This window comes from Homo sapiens, chromosome 15 (genome assembly GCF_000001405.40).
Source record: "Homo sapiens chromosome 15, GRCh38.p14 Primary Assembly".
NCBI lineage: Eukaryota > Metazoa > Chordata > Mammalia > Primates > Hominidae > Homo > Homo sapiens.
This window is the reverse complement of record NC_000015.10, coordinates 96,771,648-96,796,039: the sequence shown is the minus strand read 5'-3', so window position 1 is coordinate 96,796,039 and position 24,392 is coordinate 96,771,648. Positions and strand designations below refer to the sequence as shown.

The following is a 24,392-nucleotide window of genomic DNA, read 5'->3' as shown; positions in this document are numbered from 1 at the left end:
TGTTGACAAGGGTGTGCAAGGGGCCTGCACTCTCATCCTTTGCTGGTGATAGTATAAATTAAAAAGCCTCTTTCTTTAGGGCAATTTAGAAATATATAGCAAAATTTTAAAAATTTGTGTTCTCTTTGACTCTGCGATTTTACTTTTAAGACTCTGTCTTAAGGAAATAATCAGATATGTATCCAAAGGTACTTTCATGCAGATTATCATCATATCATTTTTTATACCAGTAAAGTAATAGAAATAAGCTAAATATGGAAATATAAATTTGATTAAGTAAATTGACATGTGGAATGTGGATATACCATTATTATTAATAATTTGGGAGATTATTAGGTGGAAAAGTGAGATACAAACAGTATTATAGTTCTTTGTTTATAATGCACATGGGGTCATATTTCTATTTAAACAGAGAAAACGGACCGGAACAAAACAAAGACCTCTAAAGACAAGAGATGTAAGATATAAGGTAAAGTATGGCTGATTTGTCTTTTTTCCTTATTTTTTCTTGCACCTCTACATTATTTGAAAAAAATACAAACAAAAAAATTAATTAGCATGTCCCCTTAGAGTTACCAGGGTATTTATAACTATGTTTCTCGTCTGCTATGCCCCGAACATATGTAAAGTAGATAATTTATCTCTCTTTTCCAGGAGATAAAGGTGAAGTGCAGAGATATTAAACAATGTCTTAAACTAGCTTTGTAGCCGCAACTGGTCTATGTAAATCTACAATTAAAATTAGTGTCTATTGATATAAAACTAGGTAAACTAATAGTCTGTAAATTAATGAGAATATATATCTAAAAGAGAACTGAAACAATTCAATGCTTAAAACATTTGTTTTATATTAGTTTATATGTACTTTAATTTTAAAGCATCAAATTTAAGTTAGCAAAAGCTATGTTGAGATATAAAATGTCTCTTTTTTTTTTCTTTAAGGGTTAGGATATTGTTAGACTCAGGAGATAGGAAGGAATTGTTAATATGTCACATTTTTTAAGAAGGAACACATTCTGACATTTGTTAATTAAACTTTTCTTAAGGTTTAATGCATTGTCAAGATAGGACATATTTTCAGGGAAGCCTTGTGATCTTACCAAGCTTTAAAATAATCCAAAAGCTAGTTCTGACATTCTACCCAATGTAGATGAAAAGGTATTTTAAGCTCATGCAAATCTAAAGAAACAGGAACATTTGATTCATCCCATTAATTAGTAGGTAACAACATAATGAGGGAGAAACATTGTTTGTTTTCTTCTAAAAGGATGATTAATGCAGGTTTAAAAACATTTTTGCTTTTATAAAATTAATACTGTTTAATTATATGAAATTAAAATGTTACCATACAATATAGTTTATTTGGTATAGATGAGGCGAAAGGTCACAATGTATAGCCAAGATCACCTTGTACATTTTCCAATATTGAATAAACATGACAATTTTAAATCACAAATGCTGACGATATTTAAGAAGTTTCTCATGTCTGCTAATTTTAGTTTAATAATCTTCCCTCTGGAGAGCACTAGTTTTCCTGGGGTCATAATTCTGTACAATAAAATGAACTGAGACAAAAATGAGGCTAAAACCCATGCAATGGATATTATCGGATTACAGCAAAGGTGTTATCTGCATCAACACTTACTATAGCATGAGTAAATGTAATTAGTGCAGAGTGGCTTGGTGGGAAAGAGTACAAAACACGATTTGCTCAGCCTGACAGAGAATTTGGGAAACCGACACCTCTGGTCACTTCCTAGAAGGTAGTGTCATAAACGGCGTGAAGAGTATGAAAGAGTGGAAAGTGTGAGCTGTGGAAATCAGCAGAGCTTCTTAGCCACAGGATCTTCGGTTAATGTCCCAGTCTCCGAGCCTCACTTTCCTCCTTGGGCAATAATATAGACTGCACCAGGTCTTTTCAATGCGTGAAGCTGATAATTTATATAAAGAGGATGACATAGTAAAGGTCCTACATAAATGTTAGTTTCCTTCCCTCTCTCTTCCCCTTTTAGCAAAATATTAGACTATTAGGATTCCAACATCAGACATGGTGGATATATCCATCCAAATATGAGGTACACCAGGAAAACCATCTAAACTAGAATGAAATGTTGTTCTGAATTGACAACTATAAATAGATAGGGCAAATGTCATAAAACTTCTGGGTATTTTATGTAATGATGGATATTTTTACAGATAAAAATGGAATGCAGGGAGACCGAATAATAAATTCTCTATATTTAAATCATTAATCAGAAATTTGATTTAGGTTTGTTTCTTTGAAAAAGTTATAGAAATAAAACATCATTTGTTTACTCTCTAGAGTCAATTCTGATGCCACAGTGAAAGCAAAAAAATTTAGAAAAAAATTTATTGAATGAAAATTCTAAATGAAATAAACTACTTAGTCGAACTCTTTGGTTTGTGATTATATAAATGTTGCAGTGTCCACATTACTGAAGAAAGTGAGTTCCAATAATCGAGTTGTTCTGGGAAATGGTCTTGCTATTACGTTCATGCATGCCTGAGTCTAATCAGTCACAACACTGAGGTCAGCCTGGACTCCAGGCACCATACTACGTACTGAAGATAAAAAGATGAATAAAACTTGAACCTTATCTTCAGCTCTCTAAATAAAAATTAGAATAATAACTACTTGTACTTACTTCTCAACATCTGAAGGACTTTCATGTGTCTTTTGTTAACAACCATGTATAACAGTCTTTATTGTCATTAATTTCCATCTTAAGAACTGTGAAACTAAGGCTCAAAGAACTAATGCCATTTATTCAAGAACTACTTACTGGTTGACAGAAGCTCAAGAGTTAGGCAATACATGGTTCTTGATTGGATTCTGCACCTATTTGAAAAAGCAAACATGCTAAGAAGAAAGTGAGAACATAGAGAGTATGGCTAATGATGGATTGTGAATTCCAGAGGGCAGGATGGAAAGGTTTAAGCAGTGGGGAAGGGCAAGAGAAGAGGCAGAGGAGGGGACATGCAGCGGTTCATGATGGTCAGAGTGCAAGAGACAAGGAGTGGGTGAGCCATGGATCTGGGGCTTGTGGTGTTGAAGGACATCACCTGAAATAAAGGGCAAAGTGAGAGAGGGCCAAGTGGACTCAAGGCAGATATGGTGAAGAAGCTGCAAAGACAAAGTAACATTATTGGGACATGAAGGGCATGAGAATATGTACTTTATAAGTAGATTTGAGAGAGAGAGGGAGACAGAGAATGCACATGCAAAGGAATTACATTGTTAATGGTCCATAAATCTCAGTGAAGTCTGTATAAGTATTGATTGTTCTATTTGTGTAACTTTTCTGTGAATTTGAAATTTTTATTTTGAGACAGGGTCTCACTATGTTGCCCAGGCTGGAGTGCAGCGGCTGTTCACAGGTGCAATCATTGCACAATACAGCCTCAAACTCCTGGGCTCAAAAGATCCTCCTGCCTCAGTCTCCTAAATAGCTGGGACTACAGGCATGCACCACTGCACATGACACTGCACCCACTCCTGCACCTGGCTTGAAATGTTTTTCAAATAAAAATTTTGGAGACAATGCAACCTGTTATTGAGTCAAGACCTGGGCTAGACATAAAGCAGAACCTGCATTCAACCCCAGAAGTGACCAGCAATTAACCTCTCCAGACTTCTGTACTTCCCCAAGCTGCCTCTTTCCTCCACAGAACTCTGAAAGGAAGGCAGAGTCTTGCTTGCAGAACGGGCTGTGCTGACTTTGTCCCTCCCTCATCAGTGCTCTCAGTCAAACCCTGTGCATCTTTCTCCGCATCACATTTCTAACTACGCAAAAGCAAGTAGGCGGGATTATAGAGGAAACCCAATTATATTCAAATACAGTTATCAAAATATAATTAGAAATATGATAGAACAAGATATGTGCTTTTTTATTAATGGATTAAATAACAAGATATGGCAGTTGGTCTAATTACTACTATGATTTGAAGTAGTGATGAACATAAACTATATTTTGGGATATCTATAAAGTGATATAAAAATATCTATTGCTAACAAGTAGAGCTAATGCTAACGTTAGTGCAGCTCATTGCCTTCATTCATAATAGAAAGAAATGCTGAACTTCAATTAATCATTAGTGACTGTCTAAATTGAGGGACAGACAGATCCCCTCAGGCTATGAATCCTGGGAACTAGATGTACATGCCCTGAGCTCTGTGCTGGAAATTCACCAGGATCTCTCATCTTTATCTTCTGTGACTCTGATAACTCCTTGTAAACTGTGAAAGTAGTTGTTAGGATCCCATCGTGCCTTGTGTCTGCAGCTGAAGACTCGACGGCCTAATGTCATGATGTATTGTCATGATCTCTCCAAAAGTCATAAGGGGCTGCACATTCTTTCATCTTTGTATCATCTAGTGTCTGCCCCTTGATAAATCATTAGTACGTTTTTGATGAATAAATGCTATATTTTGTAGATCCTGGCTTTGTTTTTTTTTTTTTTTTGAAACGGAGTCTCGCTCTGTCGCCCAGGCTGGAGTGCAGTGGCACGATCTCGGCTCACTGCAAGCTCCACCTCCCGGGTTCACGCCATTCTCCTGCCTCAGCCTCCCGAGTAGCTGGGACTACAGGCGCATGCCACCATGCCCAGCTAATTTTTTGTATTTTTAGTAAAGACGGGGTTTCACCATGTTAGCCAGGATGGTCTTGATCTCCTGACCTCGTGATCCGCCCGCCTCAGCCTCCCAAAGTGCTGGGATTACAGGCGTGAGCCACCACGCCCAGCCAGTGTTTTATGTCCAAATAAAGACTCTAGTTATTGCCTCTTCTCTAAAACCCAATTTCAACTAAACCAACCAAAAACGTAAGTTTTAACCTACAATTCACTTTGATGATTTTTTTCAAAATATTTTAAACAACATTTTAAAAATTACTTTCAACGTAACTTCTCCTTTATAATAAGAGTAGGTAAAGTACAGAACATTCAGGTATTTTACTCAATGTGCAGACAGAGGTTCAGGAATTCACCTCTACTCTGTGTTGACCACACTAAATGTTGAGGTCGAAACCCACCCAACCTCAGTCCCCCTTAATTTATACCCTACCCCATTTAGGTGGCTTCCAATAAGAGTATATGTAATGACATGACTATAAAATACAAATTAAAATAACACATGTGCAAGAAAGGGAAGAGCGAGGGTCAACAAACAAATGTGAAATAGAAAATAGAAGAGTTACAGTTATAATAGTTAAGCCTCCAGGCTTAACTAGGCTAAAAGGGAATCATGGTTATTAATCTTAGGAGAAAAATTAAAACTTCCAGTTCTCAAGGGAAGTTGAATTTTTCCCTTCAAAGTCAAGTTCAAAGTGGTTGTTCCATGGAATCTCATCTAGGAGCACTGAATAGTGACAACAACAGTATTCTCAGCAACATTCTCCCAGCACAAGGTGGTGACGAGTTACTTATGGCTGATCTTGTCACTTCCTTATGACTTGGCTATGATCAGAATGTGAGTTATGATGGACTGGTTTTGACCAAACACAAATTTACAATCATCCCCTTTGGGCTCTGTGGTTGGTAGGCTCGTAGGTGGCCTTCTCAAGAATCCCTACTTCCTGGTGTTCGTGCCTTTATGTAATCCCCTCCCCTTGAGTGGTTCTGTGATTTGTTTCTAAGCCTTAGAATATGGCACAGATGATGGGATATTAATTTTGGGATAATGTTACATGAGGCTGTAACTTTCCTCTTGCTCATTTTGCTTGCAAACTCTATTGACTCTCCCTGAGCAGGCTCTGAGGAAGTAAACCTCTTTATGGAGAAGCCCATGTGACAAGGAACTGAAGGTGGCCTCCAGCCAACAGCCCTCGGTAAGGAAGTGAATCCTGCCCATGACACATGAGCTTGAAGGTGGATTCTTTCACAGTCGAGTCTCAGAAGATACTCCAGCCCTGCCAACACCTTCACTGTGGCACCAGAGACCCTGAGCCAGAGGACCCAGATAAGTCATGCCCAGATTCCTGCTCAACAGTAATGGTGAGGTATTAAATATCTACCTTCTTAAGCTGCTACATTTGTACTAATTTCTTATGCAGCAATAGGTAAATAATACACATTTTCAAAAAATTTAGAGCAGAGCATATGCTTTTTCCAGGCTGAATGGACCATCCAGGTGGGACTTGGGAACACTGCGTGGTGGTGTGTTTTCGGTTTTGGTCACTTTTCAATCTTTTGATTGTGATCTCTCATTCCCTCGTCAATACTGACATCAAATCTCAAGTAGAAAAGCCATGGTTAATATGGGAGTAACCTTGCCATGGAGTCAGAGTTATAAACAGAGGTATGATATGTGTGCTGAGATAATTAGAAAGTCATAAAAACTTAAGGGCAAAAGTGGAACATGTGTGTGGTTGGTGATATGATTTGGTTTTGTGTCCCCACCCACATCTCATCTTGAATTGTAATCCCATTGTCCCCACGTGTCCTGGGAGGAACCTGGTGGGAAGTAATTGAATCATGAGTGAGGTTCCCCTGATGCTGTTCTCCTGATAGTGAGTGCATTTTCATGAGATCTGATGGTTTTATGAGGGTCTTCTCACTTCTGTCGGCACTCATTCTCTCATTTCTTTTCTCTCCTGATGCCATGTGAAGGAGAACATATTTGCTTCCCCTTCCACCATGATTTTAAGTTTCCTGAGGCCTCTCAGCCATGCTGAACTGTGAGTCAATTAAAACTCTTCTCTTTATAAATTGTCCAGTCTCGGGTATGTCTTATTAGCAGTATGAGAATGGACTGATACATTTGGGCTTATGACAGGTGGCATGAAACATCTTCTGTGGGTCAAAGGCTCTCCAGGCATTTTGTCACACACACAAAAGCCAGTCTGTTTAAAAAACATATACACATGCAGACCCCAAAAGGGACTTTAGGTGAATATGTTCAGTATCGAGAAATAATCTAACTTTTGGAATAACAGATCTGGGATTAAATAAATTTTTCATTCGTTCATTCATTTAACGAATAACTTTTGACTATCTTCCATGATGAAGATAAAGGAGAAAAGAGATCCAGTCCTGCCCTCGAACTCACAGTCCAGCAGGGATAAGAGCTGTGACTATGTACTAAAGATATACTAGGTACTGGGCTACACCAAGAACTTGATACACATTGGCTCATTTGATTCAAAAAACAAAAGTTTGGTATTATCTCACTTTTACAGTTCAGCAAACTGAGGTTGAGAAGTCATCAAGCAAGTAAGTAGCAAAGCTGGAATTTGTAGAGTCTTTGGACTCTACCACTTGCTTTTGACCTCTGACTGCATTCTTCTTATGATAGTTTCTCACATTACCAAAACAATATCTGTTTAATATAAAACATGTATAAAATATGGGCAAATACGTGGAGAGAAAAGTTCACTTGATCTCACTACCATCTTTATAGCTATTATTCTAAAATGTCTTAGGGATGTTTTAGTGGGAAGATAGATGAATAATCATGTATATGGCCACAGTTTATTAAGCAATTTGTGCTTGATCTTTCAGGTTCTTTGGGGTTTCTTGCTGCAGGGATTGTTGCAGTGACCTACTTAAAATCAGTAGCTCTTTTGACTTTTGTAAAAGCTTAAGCTTAGACTTCTAAAAGGGATGATGCTTCCTTGTTCCAAAAAAGGAAAGAGAAGGATTATCTTAACTGGTTTAAAGGAGAAAGAAACTCCACCTAGACAATTAAGCAGAAAATGTCGGTGGATCCTACATGCAAGCTGGAGCCAGCTTGGTGTTTGTAGAGGTGAGGAGCCCACAGAGAGGGCAAGCTGTGTGGTTCACCAGGGAGTCTGGACCCCAGGCCACAGGGACAGCCCCAGACATGACAGAAAGTCAGCAGCACTTCTGCATCCAAGGCACCATGGGGCCATGTGTGTTGGAATATAAGCATTGGAGAAACTATGCCAGTCTCCTGAGACAAATGGCCTGAGGGGTCCTTCCAATATTTTAGGGCTCCCTGAGATCCAGAAATCCTTGCACACCTCTGAGAAGGGGACAACTCCTGTTGTGACTGAGACAAAATGTCCTGCCTTTCTAGTGCAGAGATACTCAGAGGGAAGTGGAAAGAAAATCACTTGATACTTCTGGTACCACTGACTTTGTAGACTAAGACCCACAAAATCCATGCTTGCTCTGCCATCACTGCAAATATTAATTTAGAAGGTATGATGTAGAGAGTGTCATATTGCATTGAGAGTCCAAGAACCCCTGGTTAGTAACACATTCAGTTGAATGGCCTTAAGAGCAAAATGAGGTTTTTTTTTGAAGAAAGAGAAATTCTACCCCAATTCTCCAGCATCGGCTCCTGTCTAGAGTTTTTAGCCTGTCGGCGTGTCCCACAATTTTAAGATTTACCTAGCCAAACCCCACAACTGTGTAAGCCAATTATTTGAAATAAAACCCCATCTATCTTCTACCTATCATCTATCTATCTATCTATCTATCTATCTATCTATCTATCTATCTATCTATCTAATTTATCCATCTACCTATCTATCATTTATATACCTTACTGGTTCTGTATTTTCTGGAAAACCTAATTGATATGCTGTCATTTGCAAAATTGAAAAAGGCATCATCTGGATTTATCAAGCACTTGGTATATATAACTCCTAAATGACTATTTGTTTTTTTACTTTATTAGAGCTTATGCCCAGACATAACGAGGGCAGCAAAGAGAGAGGGAGATAAATTCCCCCAACTCTCTGAAAAGTGCCAGTTGGACTTTCTTTTTAAGCAAGCATGGGAACTGACATCAGGGGTAGGGTGTGTAGGTTGGACTGGGCAAAGCCGGTGGGAGGCGGCGGGTGGGGTATGCAAGTTGGCATTATCTGGTTATTATGGTTACCTTAAATATTGGGCAACCTGGTGGTCTTGCCAGCAGCAACAAGGCTGTAAATCAATTGTTCAGCATTCTTTCCAAAGGTGGGACACTCCACAACCTTGGTTATCTCCTAAGGCCAGTTCCTGGAATTCTTAGCAGTGAGGTAGTGATGTGGGTTTTGTGATCAGTGGGAATGCATGGGAGAATGCTCTAGTGGTGATGAGCTGAAGGAAGCCCCATCTCTACTCTGTCTCAATTGGATGAAGTCCTCCCAGATTATCCAACATAATCTTTATCAAAGTTCAACTTATTATATAAACACATCTGCAAAATACCCTCTTGGCAACATGTAGATCCACGTTCAATTGAATAACTAGGTAATATAGTCTAGCCCAAATGACACATAAAGCTAATCATTCCTACAAGAAAGGGAAGACTTGAGCTGGACCTGAAGGATAATTAGGAGACAAAACAAGGACTGGCATGGCAGTGAGCAGGAGCAGTGGAGAGTCCCAGGCGGCTTGCAGCTTGTAAGGCATTTCGTCATATGCAAGTTTGAGAAAGGGCAATCTGGGGAAAGTGTGGAGAGTGATGGGGGAGTAGGTTTAGAAGGCTACAGAAGAGCTGTTAGTCTCAGTCCAAACACTGACAGTGAGAATAGAGAAGAGGGATACAACAGGGAAGATACGGAGATATGGAAGACACAGACTCCACAGGCCTCAGTGGCCCTCCATGTCAGTTACTGCTCATTGATCTCTATGTTGTTTTTGTCTCTCCCTGGTCTTGATGTTGACATCTTTTTCAACATCATACTCTGTTTAGCCATCACCATTGTAAAGAATCTCTAGTGGGAGAGGCAACAGAGTAGCAACATTGTGGCCACAGTTGTGTAGAGTGCATTGAATCCAGCACACTGGCACATACAAGCTTAAACCACACACTTGTGTGCATGTCCCTGCACCAGGATACAGACACACAGAATTTTTGACTGCAGAAGCTAATTCACTCACATTTTTTATCTTACCAGGAAACTTGTCAGTTGGAGATTCAGAAAGAGATTTTAAGATATTAGCTTTTGAATCTGTAACTAGAAACCTGGCCCATATATCTCTGTGAACAAAATGGAAATGGAATAGTAGAGCCTAAAGGTGAATAGAGACAGTAGGTGGATAAATATTTCAAATCTCAGTTCTATTCCCACAACAATTCCTAGAGTCTTACCTAGGCAGAGAATGAAATCCCTCTTGGATCACAGTATGATGAAATGTCTCTTTTTCCAGTGTTGTTGCAACAACTACCACTCATGATAGGTTGCTTCAAGGTCTATAATAGTCCCTGAATCTGAAATTCATGAAGTGCCCTCAAGATCAGCCTTGTGTGTGCTGAGTCTTAACTCTGCCCCAGTAGGCACACTGGTCCTTAAATCCCCTTCTGAACACACGCATGCCTGTCTCATGGCCCTCATCCCCCTCATTTTTCTCCCTGAGCATGCCAGGATGGCCCCCAAGCTTGCTTTCAGCTGCTTTTAGTTCTAATTTCAGAAAAAAAACAAACAAACAAAAAAAAAAAAAACCAAACAGTATCCTGTATACAGCATTTGAAATTATTTTATTCAGAAAAGTTCATGCTGGGCATGTATGCCAAGCTCCGAGCTAAGCTCCAAGGATCCAGAAATATATGAGAAACAGTGTCTTGCCCTATAGGAGCTCTGGAGAAAGAGAAATGGAGACAATGAAGAGAATCTAGCCTTGGCCTTGAATAGGGAAACGAAAGGCAATACTGGGGTTTGGCCTTGAGTAGACATCCAGAATACACCATTCCAGGACTAGCATAACATACTAGGCTGCTGAGGATGGTCTCTCTTGGAGGTAGTTCAGAAGTGGGAGAGGGAGCTGTGGCACTGGTAGGACAGAAACTTCAAAGACCAGGTGGTGGCGTCTGATATAGAGCCAGCTGATTGCCCTTTCCAGGTGAGTTCCAGGTGGTAAGGGAAAAGGGAAAAGAGACCAGTTCCCTGGGCTGTTAGCTAACTCCATGATGACCAATGGAAGAGCTTCAGGGTAGGGACACTATTGAAAAATCAGGACCAGCAATATGGGTGAAACAGGACACTTCTCCTGTTTATCTTCTGAATCAGTGGGGAAGCAGATGGCACCCTTCGCCTTTGAACCCTTTGGATCCTTCCGTGAGAACAGCTGTTCTCTGTAAACAAAGAAAAAGAGGATAATTAGAGGCAGAATGGCACACAGAGAAAGACATCCCAGATGATGGAGAGGAAAACAGAGAGAATGGGTGAGAAGGAGAACAGTGCTCCCTAAACGTTCTCTCTTCGTATACACAGAGGAAAGGTTATCTGGAGAACACATTTGGGTACGTGAGTGATTGTCCAAGGCCCATCCAGCCACTCTGGGGACAGCATGCATCGCTGTTGGCACAAACCCATAACCCATGCTGACCGAGAAGCTGCAGAATGATGCTGCCATTCCAAAGGGACAACAGGAGAGAAGTTGTGATCAAAGGCAAAAATAGAGACAAAGGACAGGAGCCTACCTAGGATAAGAAAGGCCAGAGTGAGCTTGGAGAGGGCAGAGGCTGAAGGAAGGGAGGAGGCTCAGTAGTGGGCAGCTGACTATGCCTTGAGCTATCACCGAAGAGACTCGTCTGGTTTACACTTCTTAAAGGAGAATACGCACCATCTCAGGAAAAGGGAGCAATGAGTAAATATGCACGAGCAGCACTTGGGAGTGAGGAAGGGGGCAGCCAAGGCACTGGAGAGGCTGAACTCTGGATCTCCTAACAAATGAATGGGGTCCTCCGTCTCATCCCTCCCACCATCCCCGGCAGCACCCATCCAGGTTCAGGAAATGGAGAAGGGAGGAAGTCAAGAAACTGGAGTGTTGGCTTTTGAGGCACAGACTCAGCCCTGCCACCTACTTACCTTCCTTTGCAGGCCACACCGGGCCCTTGAGGCCTCCTGGGCCACCCTTGAAAGGCCTCCAGCCGCAGGGACATGTCATGGCTTCTGAGAAATGTCGCGACGAGGTTCTGCAGAAGAGAACACAGGGGTGTCAGGATGTCCCCTCAGCATCAGGAGCCCACATTGAGTGAGAGCCTCATAGAGTTGGATTTTGGGAAAAGCTCATCTCCGGCTTGAGTGGGAGGTGCCTCAGGGCTGGGATCTCTTCATGCCATTTGGGGAATCTAGGGTGTTTTCAGCTCCTTTCGCCAACCCTTCCAGCCTCCCCAAGTGCACAGGGGCTGCTCCTCTTGCCCTTACCACCTGCCTCTCATGCCTGGCCCCAGCCACCGGTCTGAAGGGGCTCTGACAATTCACATTAAGAGAATTAGGAATGCTGCAATTTCATACCTGTCTTCCCACAAAGAAATGGTAGCCTAATAGGAGTCAGACCTACATCTGGAGTTGAAAACTGCCAAGGGCAGGACATCAGATACCTAGGACAAGGCAGCCTCTGAAAAGAGGGGGCAATTTCCTGGTAGAGACAGGAGTTGTCCTGGGCCCCTGACATCCCAGCCGGGGCCATTCCTCATGCCCTTCCTTCCCCGAGGCCCAGGCTGCCACTAAAGACAATTATCCCAGAAAGACACACAAGTGGATCCCTGGGCTTAGCGGAGATGGAGCAGCCTGGTCTGAACAAGATGCATGGGCTGGCCTTTTAGACGCCCCTTCTTCAGGAGAGTCCTGCACTCAGGAACTACATGGGAGAAGTGAAGTGGGTGCTCCAAAGAGCAACTGCCAGCACATGCTCGGAACCCTGTGGGCTGCCCCAGAAGCCCCAACGGACGCAACTGCCACTGGGCGGGTGGGGGAGGGGTGGCAGCTTGGGCAGCCAAGGGGCCCCGTCTCCTACAAACCTCCTGCACACCTGGGGAAGGCAGCAGCTCTGGGGTCTGCAGGGGGGCACCTCATGGTTCCCAACTCTCCTAGAAGCAAAAAGGGATTCAAAGAGGCCCACTTGATAACCTGTCAGGCTGCATAGCAGTGAGGCTTCCTCCTTTAGTAGGTTCTTGAAATTGTATATCTATATACAAATAGATAAATATACATATACAATATACAGGGTGGCTGCAGGTTTGCTACAACAAGGCAGTGGGTGAAGGTGACGGGTGTGCAGTTGTGGACTCTGGAACCCCCCAAGGGGCTCCCCTGCTGGATGCAGAGCTGGAGCCTTTGGGCGGCTGACCAAGACAAAAGGGAAGAGGGATGAGACAGAAAGCAGGGCCGCAAGGATGCAAGGCCTTGTCTACTAAGTCCTGCTGTCCCATGTAGGCCATCACCCCTGACCTATCTGAGCCTCAGTTTCTCTGAAAGGAAAATGGGTCATCAAGAGACAAATACACAAGAGGAAAGGAGAAATCATGAGGGCAAAATGTCCAGGGTGAATGGAGGGAAGGAAAAAGTTACGGAGATCAAGTAGAACCACAGACAGGAGAGAGCCTTTGGCGAGACAGGGGCAGAGAGGTAAAAGAGAGGGGAAGTGATGGGAAGCCAAGAAGAATTGGGTGGCAAGGAGGAGGAAGCTGAGAGTGGAATGGTAGAGACCTGGGGGAGGTAGAATCAGGAACCAGGGCTGAAATGCAGAAGAAACAGCTTACTGGACCAGTCAGGGTTGGCTGGGTGGACCTGGGATGTGCAAGGTATTTTCTCGTTCCAGTCAGAGGCAGGAGACAGGGAGTGAAGGGCGCCAGCTAAGGCAGGACAGGAGGAGGACAGAAAGCCCAAAGTGTCCTTCTCCTGTCCCCTCATCCTCTCTCTCTCCAGCCCTCCCAAAAGCCTTGCCCCAGAAACAAGGGAATGGAACCCAGGAAGGTGAAGTAGACGGATGGGGTCTGGGCATCCTTTCCAGAGAGAAATGATAGCTTAACAGTGATCAGCTGAATGGCCAGGAAACACCCCCATAATGGTGGAGGGCTGAGCATCCAGTACTGTAGCCTAGGGGAAGGGGACAGGCTTGAGATCTTCCCAGACTCCTCAGACTCTAGCCGAGGTCTCCTGTCCATGGAAGCTCAGGTGTGAGGGAGACTCAGAAATGGCTCCCAGGTGGAGAAGATCGGGCTGCCTCCTCTGGGGAGGTGCTTGAAGCCTTGTGGGTACAGCACAGAATAGCCAGGAGAGGGGGGTGCCAAGGCATGCCCACCTCCACAAGAGCCCCCGTGAGGCTGCTCCCAAAACCCTAGCAGGAGCACCTCCACTTTTCCTTCCTCCAACCCCCGGGGGTGGGGGAACTCCCTTTGGACCCAGAGAAGCCCTCACATAGTCCTCCTGCTGGCCAGCTCTGCTATCTCAGGGCCCAGTGCCCTGGGAGAAGATGAAGGCCATCACTGCAGATGAAAACCAGAATCAGACATCTGGGGAAGAAGTGTGATCCCAAGGAAGGAAATAAATGGCTCCCAACGTTGCTCAGTGCTCCCCTACTAAGCAGGAGATGGATGTAGGATTTCTCTTCAGGCAGGGCTCTGGAGCATCTAACTGTGGTGTTGCTGTTGGATCATGTTCACACATGTAGAGAGCCTGCAGAAAAGGATTTTGTGGGGAAGGTCCATTAAAACCTTTCTAGGTAAATCAGAGTTCAACAGACCCAAATGCCAGGCATCCTGGCATCCTGGCCAGGACACCACACCACTCACTTCCCTTTGCATTTCCCTATTGTCACTCTCGTCTGATATTTGTTCAGGAATTCACCCATCTGTAAGCTCATTGCTTTATCAAATATTTGTTGAGCTTTGCTGGGCAGAGGGGATACAAAAATGAATGAGACAAAGTTCCTGCATTCAAGTACCTTGCTGGGCAGTGAGAAAGGGCAGACTGACATGCTGAGAATGAAGAGAGAAATACAGGATGCAGGCGGATGGCTCAGGTAGACATACCCTTTAGTCCCTGCTCTCATGGGTAAATACAGCTACTGGGAGAAAGTTAACATCAAAAAATCCTCCAGGGGAGTCAATGATAATATTTGTTGCCTCTCACCAGGCAGATAGAAAGTTGGAAACCAGAAAGTTCTTTGCCTACTTGGGAATGTATAGTTTAAAACCAAAACATACTCACACCTATTAATCGGGGTCCTTCCCTTGAGCAGCACCGATGTCGGGGAAAAGAAAACTACCTGGCAAGTTAGGATACAGCAGGAACGGTCTCCAAGACAGCCATTGAAAATGCTCCCAAATGCTGGAGACCTCAGGTTTGAAGGGGTTCTGATGGCCATATGGACTTATAAGGGACATGGTTCAGAGGTTTCCTCAGACCAGCACAGGACTTGGGGAGGGGGAGCAGGGAAGCCCCCAGGATCCAGATTTTTGGGATGTCAGTGCTACAAGGGCTGGGCTTGTGGCTGGAAGCTGTGTCCTTGGTGTCCCCATTTGAAGGGCAGAGGCCCAGGGGCAGGTCCCAAGAAGATGGGGACAGCCCAGATGATGGTCAATGGAGTCTTGGCTGGCGGGGGAGGCGGTTCCTGGAGGGGGCCGCGAAGAGGTGGAGTGACACTGGAGTATCACCAAGGTGGTGCTTCCTTGCCACCAGAAAGCCAGGCCTGGGGAGGAGAAAGGAGGAAGATGACTCAGCTGGAGTGACAGCCCCCCTGCTCCCTGCTGCCCCTGTATTGGGCTATCACTGCTGGGGAGTGCATCCAAACAGAGGGCTATTTGATCAGTCTTAAATACCCACAGGACTCCCAACTCAGGAGAGACAGATGGGCAGAAACAGAAAAGTAAATGCTGAGATTATATCTGAAGAAAGAGAGAGAGCATAGCAAGAGCAAAGAAAAGAGTCAGGATGAAAAACCTCATTGTGTCAAGAAAAGAAGGAAGGAGAGGAGAGGAAGAACACAGTGTCCCTTAGGAAACCAGAGTCAGAGTGAGGTCAGGACAAGGCTAACAGCGCAGGAAGAGGTGACTGGCTGGACCTCACCCAAAGAGGATTGAGCCTGAAGGCTTCAGGGATGTGGTCTGTGCTTCCTCCCTCTGCCCCTAACTCTGGGGACATGCCTCTCTTGGGGATAGAATGCAGATGAAGAGAAACAGAAGTGGCCAAGTCAAGAAGCCATGGGCTGAGGGTGCCCCAGGTGCCCACTTCCCTTGGGGCAAAGCTCATCCCTAGTTTACTAGGAGTGCCTGACAACTGGCCCCTGTCCTGGGCCAGTCCCGAGCCCGTACAGGCAACAGGGCACGTGTTTTTGAGCCTCTCTCCCACCTTCCAGCCCTATCCAGGTGTCTCTGGGAAGGGTTCTTGGAGCCTCCCCCTACTGTCAAAGGAGGCCCTCCAGCAGCTGCCCTGCCTGACCGGGCACAGCTGACTCTGAGGAGTCGATGCTTGCAGCCCCATACCTTTTTTCTTTTTTCTTTCAAAAAGATCTGCATCTTAACTACAGTCTGTTTCCCACTGAGAGGAACGTGGCTGCATAGTTGATGTCAAGGAGAGAAAGGACTGTTTGGGGCTGAGGGGTGGGGACATGGGTCCTGGATCCCCCTCATCCTTCCCTGGGACGCAGACAGCCCTGGGAAGTTCAGTTATGAGGAGGACGCAAGGGACCCTAGCTCAGCCCCCGGCAGGTGGGCTGGGAAAGGAGTGGCCCTTCGTCTGGGGAGGGACTGGGCTGCTCTGTGCCCAGAAACTACATGGATAAGCAGTTGCGTGATATGCACCCGAAGCCAGTCCCCAGGAAGCCCTGCCATTGAGAGTCACTGCCACCCCATGGCCCTCTCTGCACCCCTAGACCCCACAGATAGGGAGGAGGGCTGGTCCTGGACCCAGAGGACCCCTCAACTGGAGTGAGGCTCCCCAGCTCCTCTTGCCCAGAGAGCTCTGCCAATGAAAGGGCCCTCCAAAGAGACCAGAGCTGAGAGATGGTCCAAGCTCCCCTGCGGCAGTTGTGGCTGTAAAAAGAGGGGTCTCAGGATGAGATCTGGGGCGCCTGAAAAATGGTCAAATCCCAGTGCTGGGATTACAGTTCAAGAGGCAAGCAGCAGCAGCCTGCTCCACGAGGTTAGGCTGAGGGCTGCTCTTCAGCTTGGCTCCCAAAGTGGTTTGCTCTGGATCAGCTGCTTTGAGTATTTGACCCGTGAGTGACCTGCCACTTTCAGGTCATCTCGGACCCCAAGCCAAAGTCTCACAGAAGTTGCCACTCATGACTTGCCTGAGTACACGGCACCGAAACAAACAATGCTGGCCTGCTTTCTTTTCCTTTCTCATTCCACCACTCTCCACAGTCATGTCTCCATTCACACATGTATTGTTCACTGAACAGCTATTAACTTGGCCTTGATACGAGACATAAAATAGTGAGTGGCACATAGTCCCTAACTTCAAGTTGCTCACTGCATCCTGGGGAAAGATACGGTCCTCATGAGGAGGGGGGTATTGTTGATGCTTGCTGGGGCCTTCCTTAGACTTCAGATATCGTAGGCTATCTCTTCCATTGTACCTCATAGGGAACTAAAATAACTTTAGATTGTAAAGATAGCTAAAATGTCACTAGAAAACAACTTCAATTAGAAAATATTTTAGGGGTGGCAAGGAGTGAGTAGGCCTCTGCCCATCAAGGTCTCATGGTCTTAAAGGAGACGCTACTTTGGGTGACTAAAGTCCCATTGTCTGCCTTTATGCCGTACTGGCATTTTAAGGACCAGGAGAAATCTTCGGGGCTACATGTCCAATGTGGAGAGTGCCCTGAAATTCTGGACACTCCATCTCTTAAGGGTTCTGAGGGTGTCATATGGGCTTATCAGGAACAAGCGTCAGATGCTTCCCGCGACCAGCATAGGACTAGGGGAGGGGGAGCAGGGAAGCCCCCAAGATCCAGGTTCTGGGGAGGTCAGTGCTATAGGGGCTGGGCTTGTGTCTGGAAGCTGCCTCCTTTTGTGTTCCCAATTGAACAGCAGAGGGTGGGGGGCTGCTCTTAAGAAGATGAGACAGCCCAGATGATGGCCAAATGGAGTCTCAGGGGCTCCTGAAGGGGGCCAAGAAGAGTTGGGGTGAGGCTACGGTATCATTCAAGGGTATCATTCACATGTTGCTTCCTTGTGATTAGAAAGCCAGGTCTGAGGTATGATTAAATGGTAAATTTTGTAATGTGTGTGTTTCATTGCAATTTTTTAGATATGGCATGGGGAGGAGAGAAGGTGTCCTCCCTTCAGCTTTGAGGATGGATAAGAGTGATGTGGCCAGAACCCTCTCTGCTGTCACTCTTTGTGGAGCCCCAACACATTCTTTACAAAGAAGGAATGCCAAAGGAGGGCATTTTCATCTGACTTAAATGCCTAGAGACCTCGGGACCCTGGAGAGACAGAGACAGAGGTTATGAGGTTACATTTGTGAACTGAGACAGAGGGAGATAAAGCCTCCTGAGAAAGAGAGAGAACAAAAACAGTGGTGGGGAAGATATGATCAGAGACAAAATTAGAGACAGTAAAGGTGGAAACAAGGCACCCAGAGGGGCAGAGAGCCACAGCCACAGGGGGAGCAGAGAGAAGTACAGAGACCAAAATATGAAATCGTTGGGCATAGTGAGCCTTCTGCTGGCTGTCTTCCAGGGGAAGAGTCAAATTCCTCTGAATTTCATGGTTTAAAGAGACAGAAATTGAGTCATTAGAGATTTTCAGTGGAGGAAGGACAAGGGATAGACAGGTCTCTCCTGGGACAGAACCACCAGTATTCTCTGTGATTCAGAGATGTAAGTCACTTGCTTTATCTAGAATGGCTCATCTCCTTGGCTACCAATTGTCTTGCTACCTTCTGGCCAGGTGTAGGGCCCAAATTAACTAAGAAGACTGAAGAGAAGAGAGGAAGAAGCGCAAGAGCAGAGGCCTGGCTGGGCATGACGAGTGCTCGGCCTTTAGAGACCCAATTCCTGCTGCTGCCCTCATTAGCTGCCCGTTGGCAGCCAGGGACCCACAGCCCTGCCCTGCAGGCTCTGGACAGCTTTGGTCACAGCTCACCCCCAGCCTGGATGGGTCTGGTGGACTGTTCTGTGCTTGTTTGGGAAGTCCCCCTCCTTCTACCCTTTAGTCCTTCCTCCTCTTATCTGGTCTCTCCTTTCCAAAGAGCCTTAAACTTTCTCAAAAGCAGAAAGCCAATGGCATGTGGATGAGTTTCTTCCCCAAAGAAAGTTTAAGCTTAGTAGTGAACATTTCTTAACAAAATGAAAAAGATGCAGGGTCAGGGGCTGGCTACTTTTCAGAAAGTGGGTAGTTAGTCATGGTCAGCTGATTTTCTGACTTCCGCGAAAGCCCAACCCAGAATGTTTCTCACTTCATCCCCTTCCAAAGCCCAGGCAGCCTCGAGAAACCTTCTAAGCGGGTCCCAGGCAGAACTCTCTTAGAAGGAGAACATCCTAAAATGCTAAGACTGCAAATGGGAATTCAGAGAAGCAGAAGACTTCTCAGGAATGTCCAAATCACAATAATTAAATAAGCAAGATACCCTAACCTATAGTCTAGGGCCCAGGACTAGTCTGGTTCTGACAGGCTTTTCCTTCATCGGTGGCCTTTGACTCCAGCTGACTTCGAGAGACTTATTCCTCTAGGATAGCCTGCACATCCCATTGATGAATCTGCTAAGTCAGAGAAGGATCTGCGTCCTTGCCCTGTGAGAACCTTCTGCCTGCAGTAAGCTCCCAGTCTGAAGGGGGCATACAATCAAGTGTGTAATCCTGTGGTCCCATGTTAAATGCAATATAATGTCCCCTATGCCCTGATGCCTAGGAGAGAACCCTAGAGTCATCAAGGCAGCCATAGTAAAAGACTGCAAGGCCTGGCAATCTCTTTAATGGAAATGCCTTTGGAGATATTTGGCCTGTCCTCAGAGTAGCACATGGCAATGAAACAGGCTCTCACTCCCCGGGGGCGCAGAGGTTTCCAAGATTGTGGTCTTGGGTGACTGAAATACAGTGCTTGGATCAGGAACTCTGCTATTTCCAGGTGGAGAGTAGAAAACCAAGAGAAGGGAAGTGATGGATCAGGAATTTGTCCCTCATGGACTATCCCTTTCCTGTCTGTGGAGCCTTCCAGGAAGGAAGGAAGGCGGCAATGAGAACACCAGCAAGGAAGGAAGGCGGCAATGAGAACAATCTGGCTAATGAGGTTAAACTCAAACAACAGATCTGGTGAAGGAGGTTCCTTTGCCCTCCCTGGAACGTCCATAGGCCTTTCTTTCTTCATGGTACCTATCTTGTCATGCTGTAGACAATTAAAATTTTTAACGTAGACCAACACAGACGCATCCTGCATCCTGCTCTTGAAGGATATGCAGGATGTCCTGCAGCAAGGCAAAGTATGGAAAGCAAGAGCAGAGAAGAGCAGCAGAGTCCTGAAGAAAACAGACATGGAGTGCAGGGGAGGTTAGGGGAAGGGACAGGACAGGAGGGGAAGGAAGCGGGGGAGGGAAAGGGAATAGAAGGGGGATGTGGGGTCTGGGGAGTCAGAGCTGGGTCAAGGGCATGGGGATCCAGGAACCTTTGTCCAGGAATGCATACCTTGGTCCAGTCTTGCTCTGGAAAGAGAACTGTGATGGAAATGAAAGACCATGATGGTCAGAGGCACTCGGAAACAGGTCACTGTCTGACTTGCCTGTTCCCTCTTCTGATCTTCAGCATAAGTTTCTGAGGGAGAGGAACTCCATGTAGAATGAGCTTCGATAAGGCTGCCTAAGAGGAGAGGAAAGGAAAATAGGGCGTTTTGCCAAAGGGAGGGGCTGGGACTTGCTCCCAGTTAGCCCTCTGACAGCTTGCACTTTGGAGTGTGTGTAGGTTGGAGGCAAGGGGGTGCGGCAGAGAGAGGGCTGTGGTTAGGGGAGAGGCTAGTGGTTAAAGGAATTCAAGTCCTTGTGAGGCCAGCTACTAGGCTTCCATCCTCCAGGCTGTTCCCTTGAGGTCTTCATCCCTATCTGGTTCTAAGCCAAGCCATATCCCAGATTCGGCATTGAAGAGAATTTAGATTGACCCAAGCCCACAAACTCTCCCTTCAAAATAGGCACTCCCAAAACTAAAGGGGCCCTATTGTCCCCAGGAAGAACAATAACAATCAGGGCCAAACTTTGAGTTTTTTTCACTCCTGGAAGGGATGTATATCCATACAGGAAGGAGGGTGAACTGCCTGCCCCAAGGTAGGAGGAAGAATGGCTTTCTAACAAAAGCTTGAGCATAACCTCATTTTTATGCTATAGGAAATTATCAAATGACCTATTATTAAAGATTCTTTTAGAAAGACAAGGCAAAATCTGGCTGTTAAGAATGCCTTGCCTAGCACATTGGGAGGCCAAGGTGGGCGGATTGCTTGAGCTCAGGAGTTCAGTACCAGACTGGGCAACATGGTGAAACCCTGTCTCTACTAAAATATGAAAAAAATATATATATATATATACACACACACATAAATATATATACATATACACATATATATACATATACACACATATATACATATATACATATATACACATATATACATTTATATATATACATATATACATATATATAGAGAGAGAGAGTTGGGCGTGGTGGCGTGCGCCTATAGTCCCAGCTACTCGGGAGGCTGAGGCAGGGGAATTGCTTAAACCTGGGAGGTGGGGGTTGCAGTGAGCTGAGATTGCGCCACTGCACTCCAGACTGGGTGACAGAGTGAGACCATCTCCAAAAAAAATAAGAGTGCCTTGCTCTGGTGGTCTGAACCAGTCATCACCCTTTTTATCTCATTATTCTCTTTCCTTGGGATTACTCCCCATCTTCCTGTTTCTTGGCTTTGATCACTCCCAATTCATTCCCAGACGACTCATTAGGACTGATTCTTGTGTCAGGAGACTTTACTCATGCTGAGCCCTGAGTTCCCTGGGAAACCCACATCTCTTTCCTAATAGGACTTTGTGTTGCAAATGAGAATGCCTGTTTTGAAATGAGCATTTGCGGACTCTGTTCTTTTTCACAAGCATTTTTTTAATCTATAAATTTAATATGTATCTTTTATTTTTTTCATTAAGGGCTCAAAGGACTTGTCTTGATCTGTAGTTTTGGCTACACCTGCTTGGGAAAGTGTAGTCTGGGAATTCCTGCCGCCACTAACTCACTGATTTCCACTTGCCTGAGATCTATTAGGATTCCTCCATTGCAGATGTTCTGACACACTGAAGCTATGCCTTACCTGACAAGCTAATACCCAATTCCTTCTAGAACTCATGGATTTATATTTCTGTTCTCTCCCCACTCTTGTCCAGACCTTTACATCCTGGATTCTTTACCATTTCTGCCCCCAGGACTCTTGGATATTGCATTGTCACTCATATCCATAAAACACGTTAGGAACTGGACATTAATATGTTAATGTTATTCAAAACACATCCATGGAAGCTCAAGTGCAAGGCATATACTCTAATAAGTCTTGGGGATTCAAAAATGAATGAGAAACCATGTCTTTTCCTCTAAAAAGCAATCTTGTAAAATCGCGTCCAGAAGCTTCCAAGACATTAGAGGTGACGTTGAGTTTGTAAGCTAACATAGGGAGTCAATTTCTTGGATGGCAAATGGAAAAAATCCTTGAAGCCTCTAGTCTGTGAATGGCTGGGGTTGGGCTTAAGAAGTTCCTGGGAAGAAGCTTGCTGACAGTGTAGATACTCCCTGGACTGAGTCAGCCTTTCTGGATGTGATTCTAATAATGGGGTCCACAGTTGGAGAGGGAAACCCCATTATCAGAGTTCCCAGCTAGAAGAAGACAGACAGCCAGTGGGGCGAGTGTCAGAAGGTTTGTTTTCATGTCTGTTAACCAAATGGTGGCTACTGGAAAAGTGAAAAAAGAGTGATCAAGGAAAAGGCAAGGCCAGAACGGACCTGAGGAATGAAACACCACCTCCAGGGCACAAGGTCCCCCAGCCCGGAAGCTGCTTGCTGATGTCCAACTCCACCCCTGCCTTCTAACCCTGCCGTAGCCATCCCAGTGTCCTGTTCTTCCTATGAAAGAAAAAGTCAAATGGATGAGCCACAATGTCCCTACTAGGGAAAGAGAATCTGCAGGGTAGGGAGAGAGATAGCTATATAGAAAGATACAAAGAGATACATAAAAAGAACAAGGCATAGAAATAAACTAACAAAGAGTGACAGCAGCAGAAAAATAACAAAAGAACTGGTTGCTTCCCCTAGGAGAAAATCCAGAGTGCAGAGCAGTGATGAGGGGATTGGAGGCAAGCAACAGATAGAGAATGCCAGCAGAAGGCAGAAACAGAGGTGTCCATGTCACAGACCTGGAGGGATTCAGAGAGGGCAAAGGGCAGAAGCGGGACTTTAGCCATAATATTCTGTCCCAGTGAGCCCACCATCTGTCCCTAGCATGCTCATGCTTCTCCCCACACATTCACAGCTCCTGCACAAAGACAAAACCACAGAGGAAAGCACTCAGAAAGGAGCAGGATGAGGGAATGCAAAGAAAAGGCAAATGAGGGAAGCGTTGAAAGATACAGGTAAGAGAGAAGGGGTTCTGACCTTTGGGGTGGAGGCCAGAAAGATGCCCAAAAGGCTGAAATGTGCCCCACAATCATCACAAACCCCACCTCCAGGCAGGCTCCTGGTACACAAGGAAGCAAAGGAGTAAAAAGTATGAATCGCCTGGGGCCACTGAAATATCCCCGGAAAATTTCTCTCTTCAGCTTTTGAAATAAGTTATTCTAACTCAGAGCTGAAGACTCTTAAAATTCTTTTGGGTACTATCCAAAGTCTAGGTCCCCATCATTGCCCCTTGCCCTACTTAAGGCAGGAGGAGGTGTCTGGTATCCACTAGACACCATCCAGTAAAGTGCTCTTGAACTCAGGAACTTGTCTCATCTTAGTACAGTGAGGGAGTGAGGTGCTTGCTTCATTTGCAATCACTGGCCTTTGGCCTGGTGTGAGGTCCTAATCCTGTGCTCTGGAGCGGAGAGCCAAGCCTCTGTGCTCATCCCAACAGAACCTCTTCCGGTGGCAGCAGGGAGGGAGGGGAGACAGTTGAAGTTAGAAGATGCTTTGCTGTATTCACCAAGTCTTCAAAACAAGAGCACTGAAGTGCTGGGGACTGTTTCTCCTTGACTTTTTAGCCTTGATACAATGGCCACAAAGAAGAGCTCTTCACAATAGAAGCTTGTTATGTTTGCTTTGCCATCATCCACCATAAAGCCTGGAATACAACCTTCTTCCCTTTTCAGTAAACATCTACTGAGTAAATCACACGAAGGTATCTGCTTTCTCAGGAATTTTACTAAACTACGGTTTGATGGTAAACTCAACTTCAGAGGGCTTCAACTGTAGCTTGAACCAGGTTTCTTCATGAGAAGATATGGGTGAGAGAGAGGGGAACCACAAAAAAACCTGCATCATAATTCAGGTCAAAGCCCTAGGACCAAGTGTAAAAGCTAGGCCCAGATTTTCCTTCAGCTGGTACCTGGAATTGGTCTTGATCTGTTTATTGTAGGAGACACGTTCCATTGTAGGTCCCAGAGCAGTGCAGGCACAGAGTTGTAGAAAACCCACAGCAGTCTCAGACTTTTAGAGAAACTGCTCCAGCTTTAGGGTTCATGTCCTAAAAA

At 45.0% G+C, this 24,392-nt stretch overlaps 2 long non-coding RNA genes across 6 annotated transcripts; one reads left to right on the top strand and one right to left on the bottom strand.

Annotated features, from left to right (window-relative positions):
• On the bottom strand, positions 10,425-12,605 carry SPATA8 (spermatogenesis associated 8). 4 transcript variants are annotated; one of them, NR_158222.1, is made up of 4 exons: positions 12,451-12,605; positions 12,210-12,295; positions 11,781-11,887; positions 10,425-11,044 (listed from the first exon to the last, which is right to left on the bottom strand). It is a non-coding gene; the product is annotated as a spermatogenesis associated 8 (long non-coding RNA). The 4 variants fall into 4 exon arrangements; NR_158220.1 differs by lacking the exon at positions 12,210-12,295 and having other exon boundaries at positions 12,296-12,605; NR_158223.1 differs by lacking the exon at positions 12,210-12,295.
• Positions 12,606-12,702: 97 nt separating this feature from the next.
• SPATA8-AS1 (SPATA8 antisense RNA 1) lies at positions 12,703-24,035 on the top strand. Of its 2 annotated transcripts, NR_102753.1 has the most exons (4): positions 12,703-12,864; positions 14,938-15,039; positions 23,195-23,294; positions 23,904-24,035. It is a non-coding gene; the product is annotated as an SPATA8 antisense RNA 1 (long non-coding RNA). The 2 variants fall into 2 exon arrangements; NR_102754.1 differs by lacking the exons at positions 12,703-12,864; positions 14,938-15,039 and adding an exon at positions 14,386-14,418 and having other exon boundaries at positions 23,777-24,035.
• Positions 24,036-24,392: the final 357 nt, after the last annotated feature.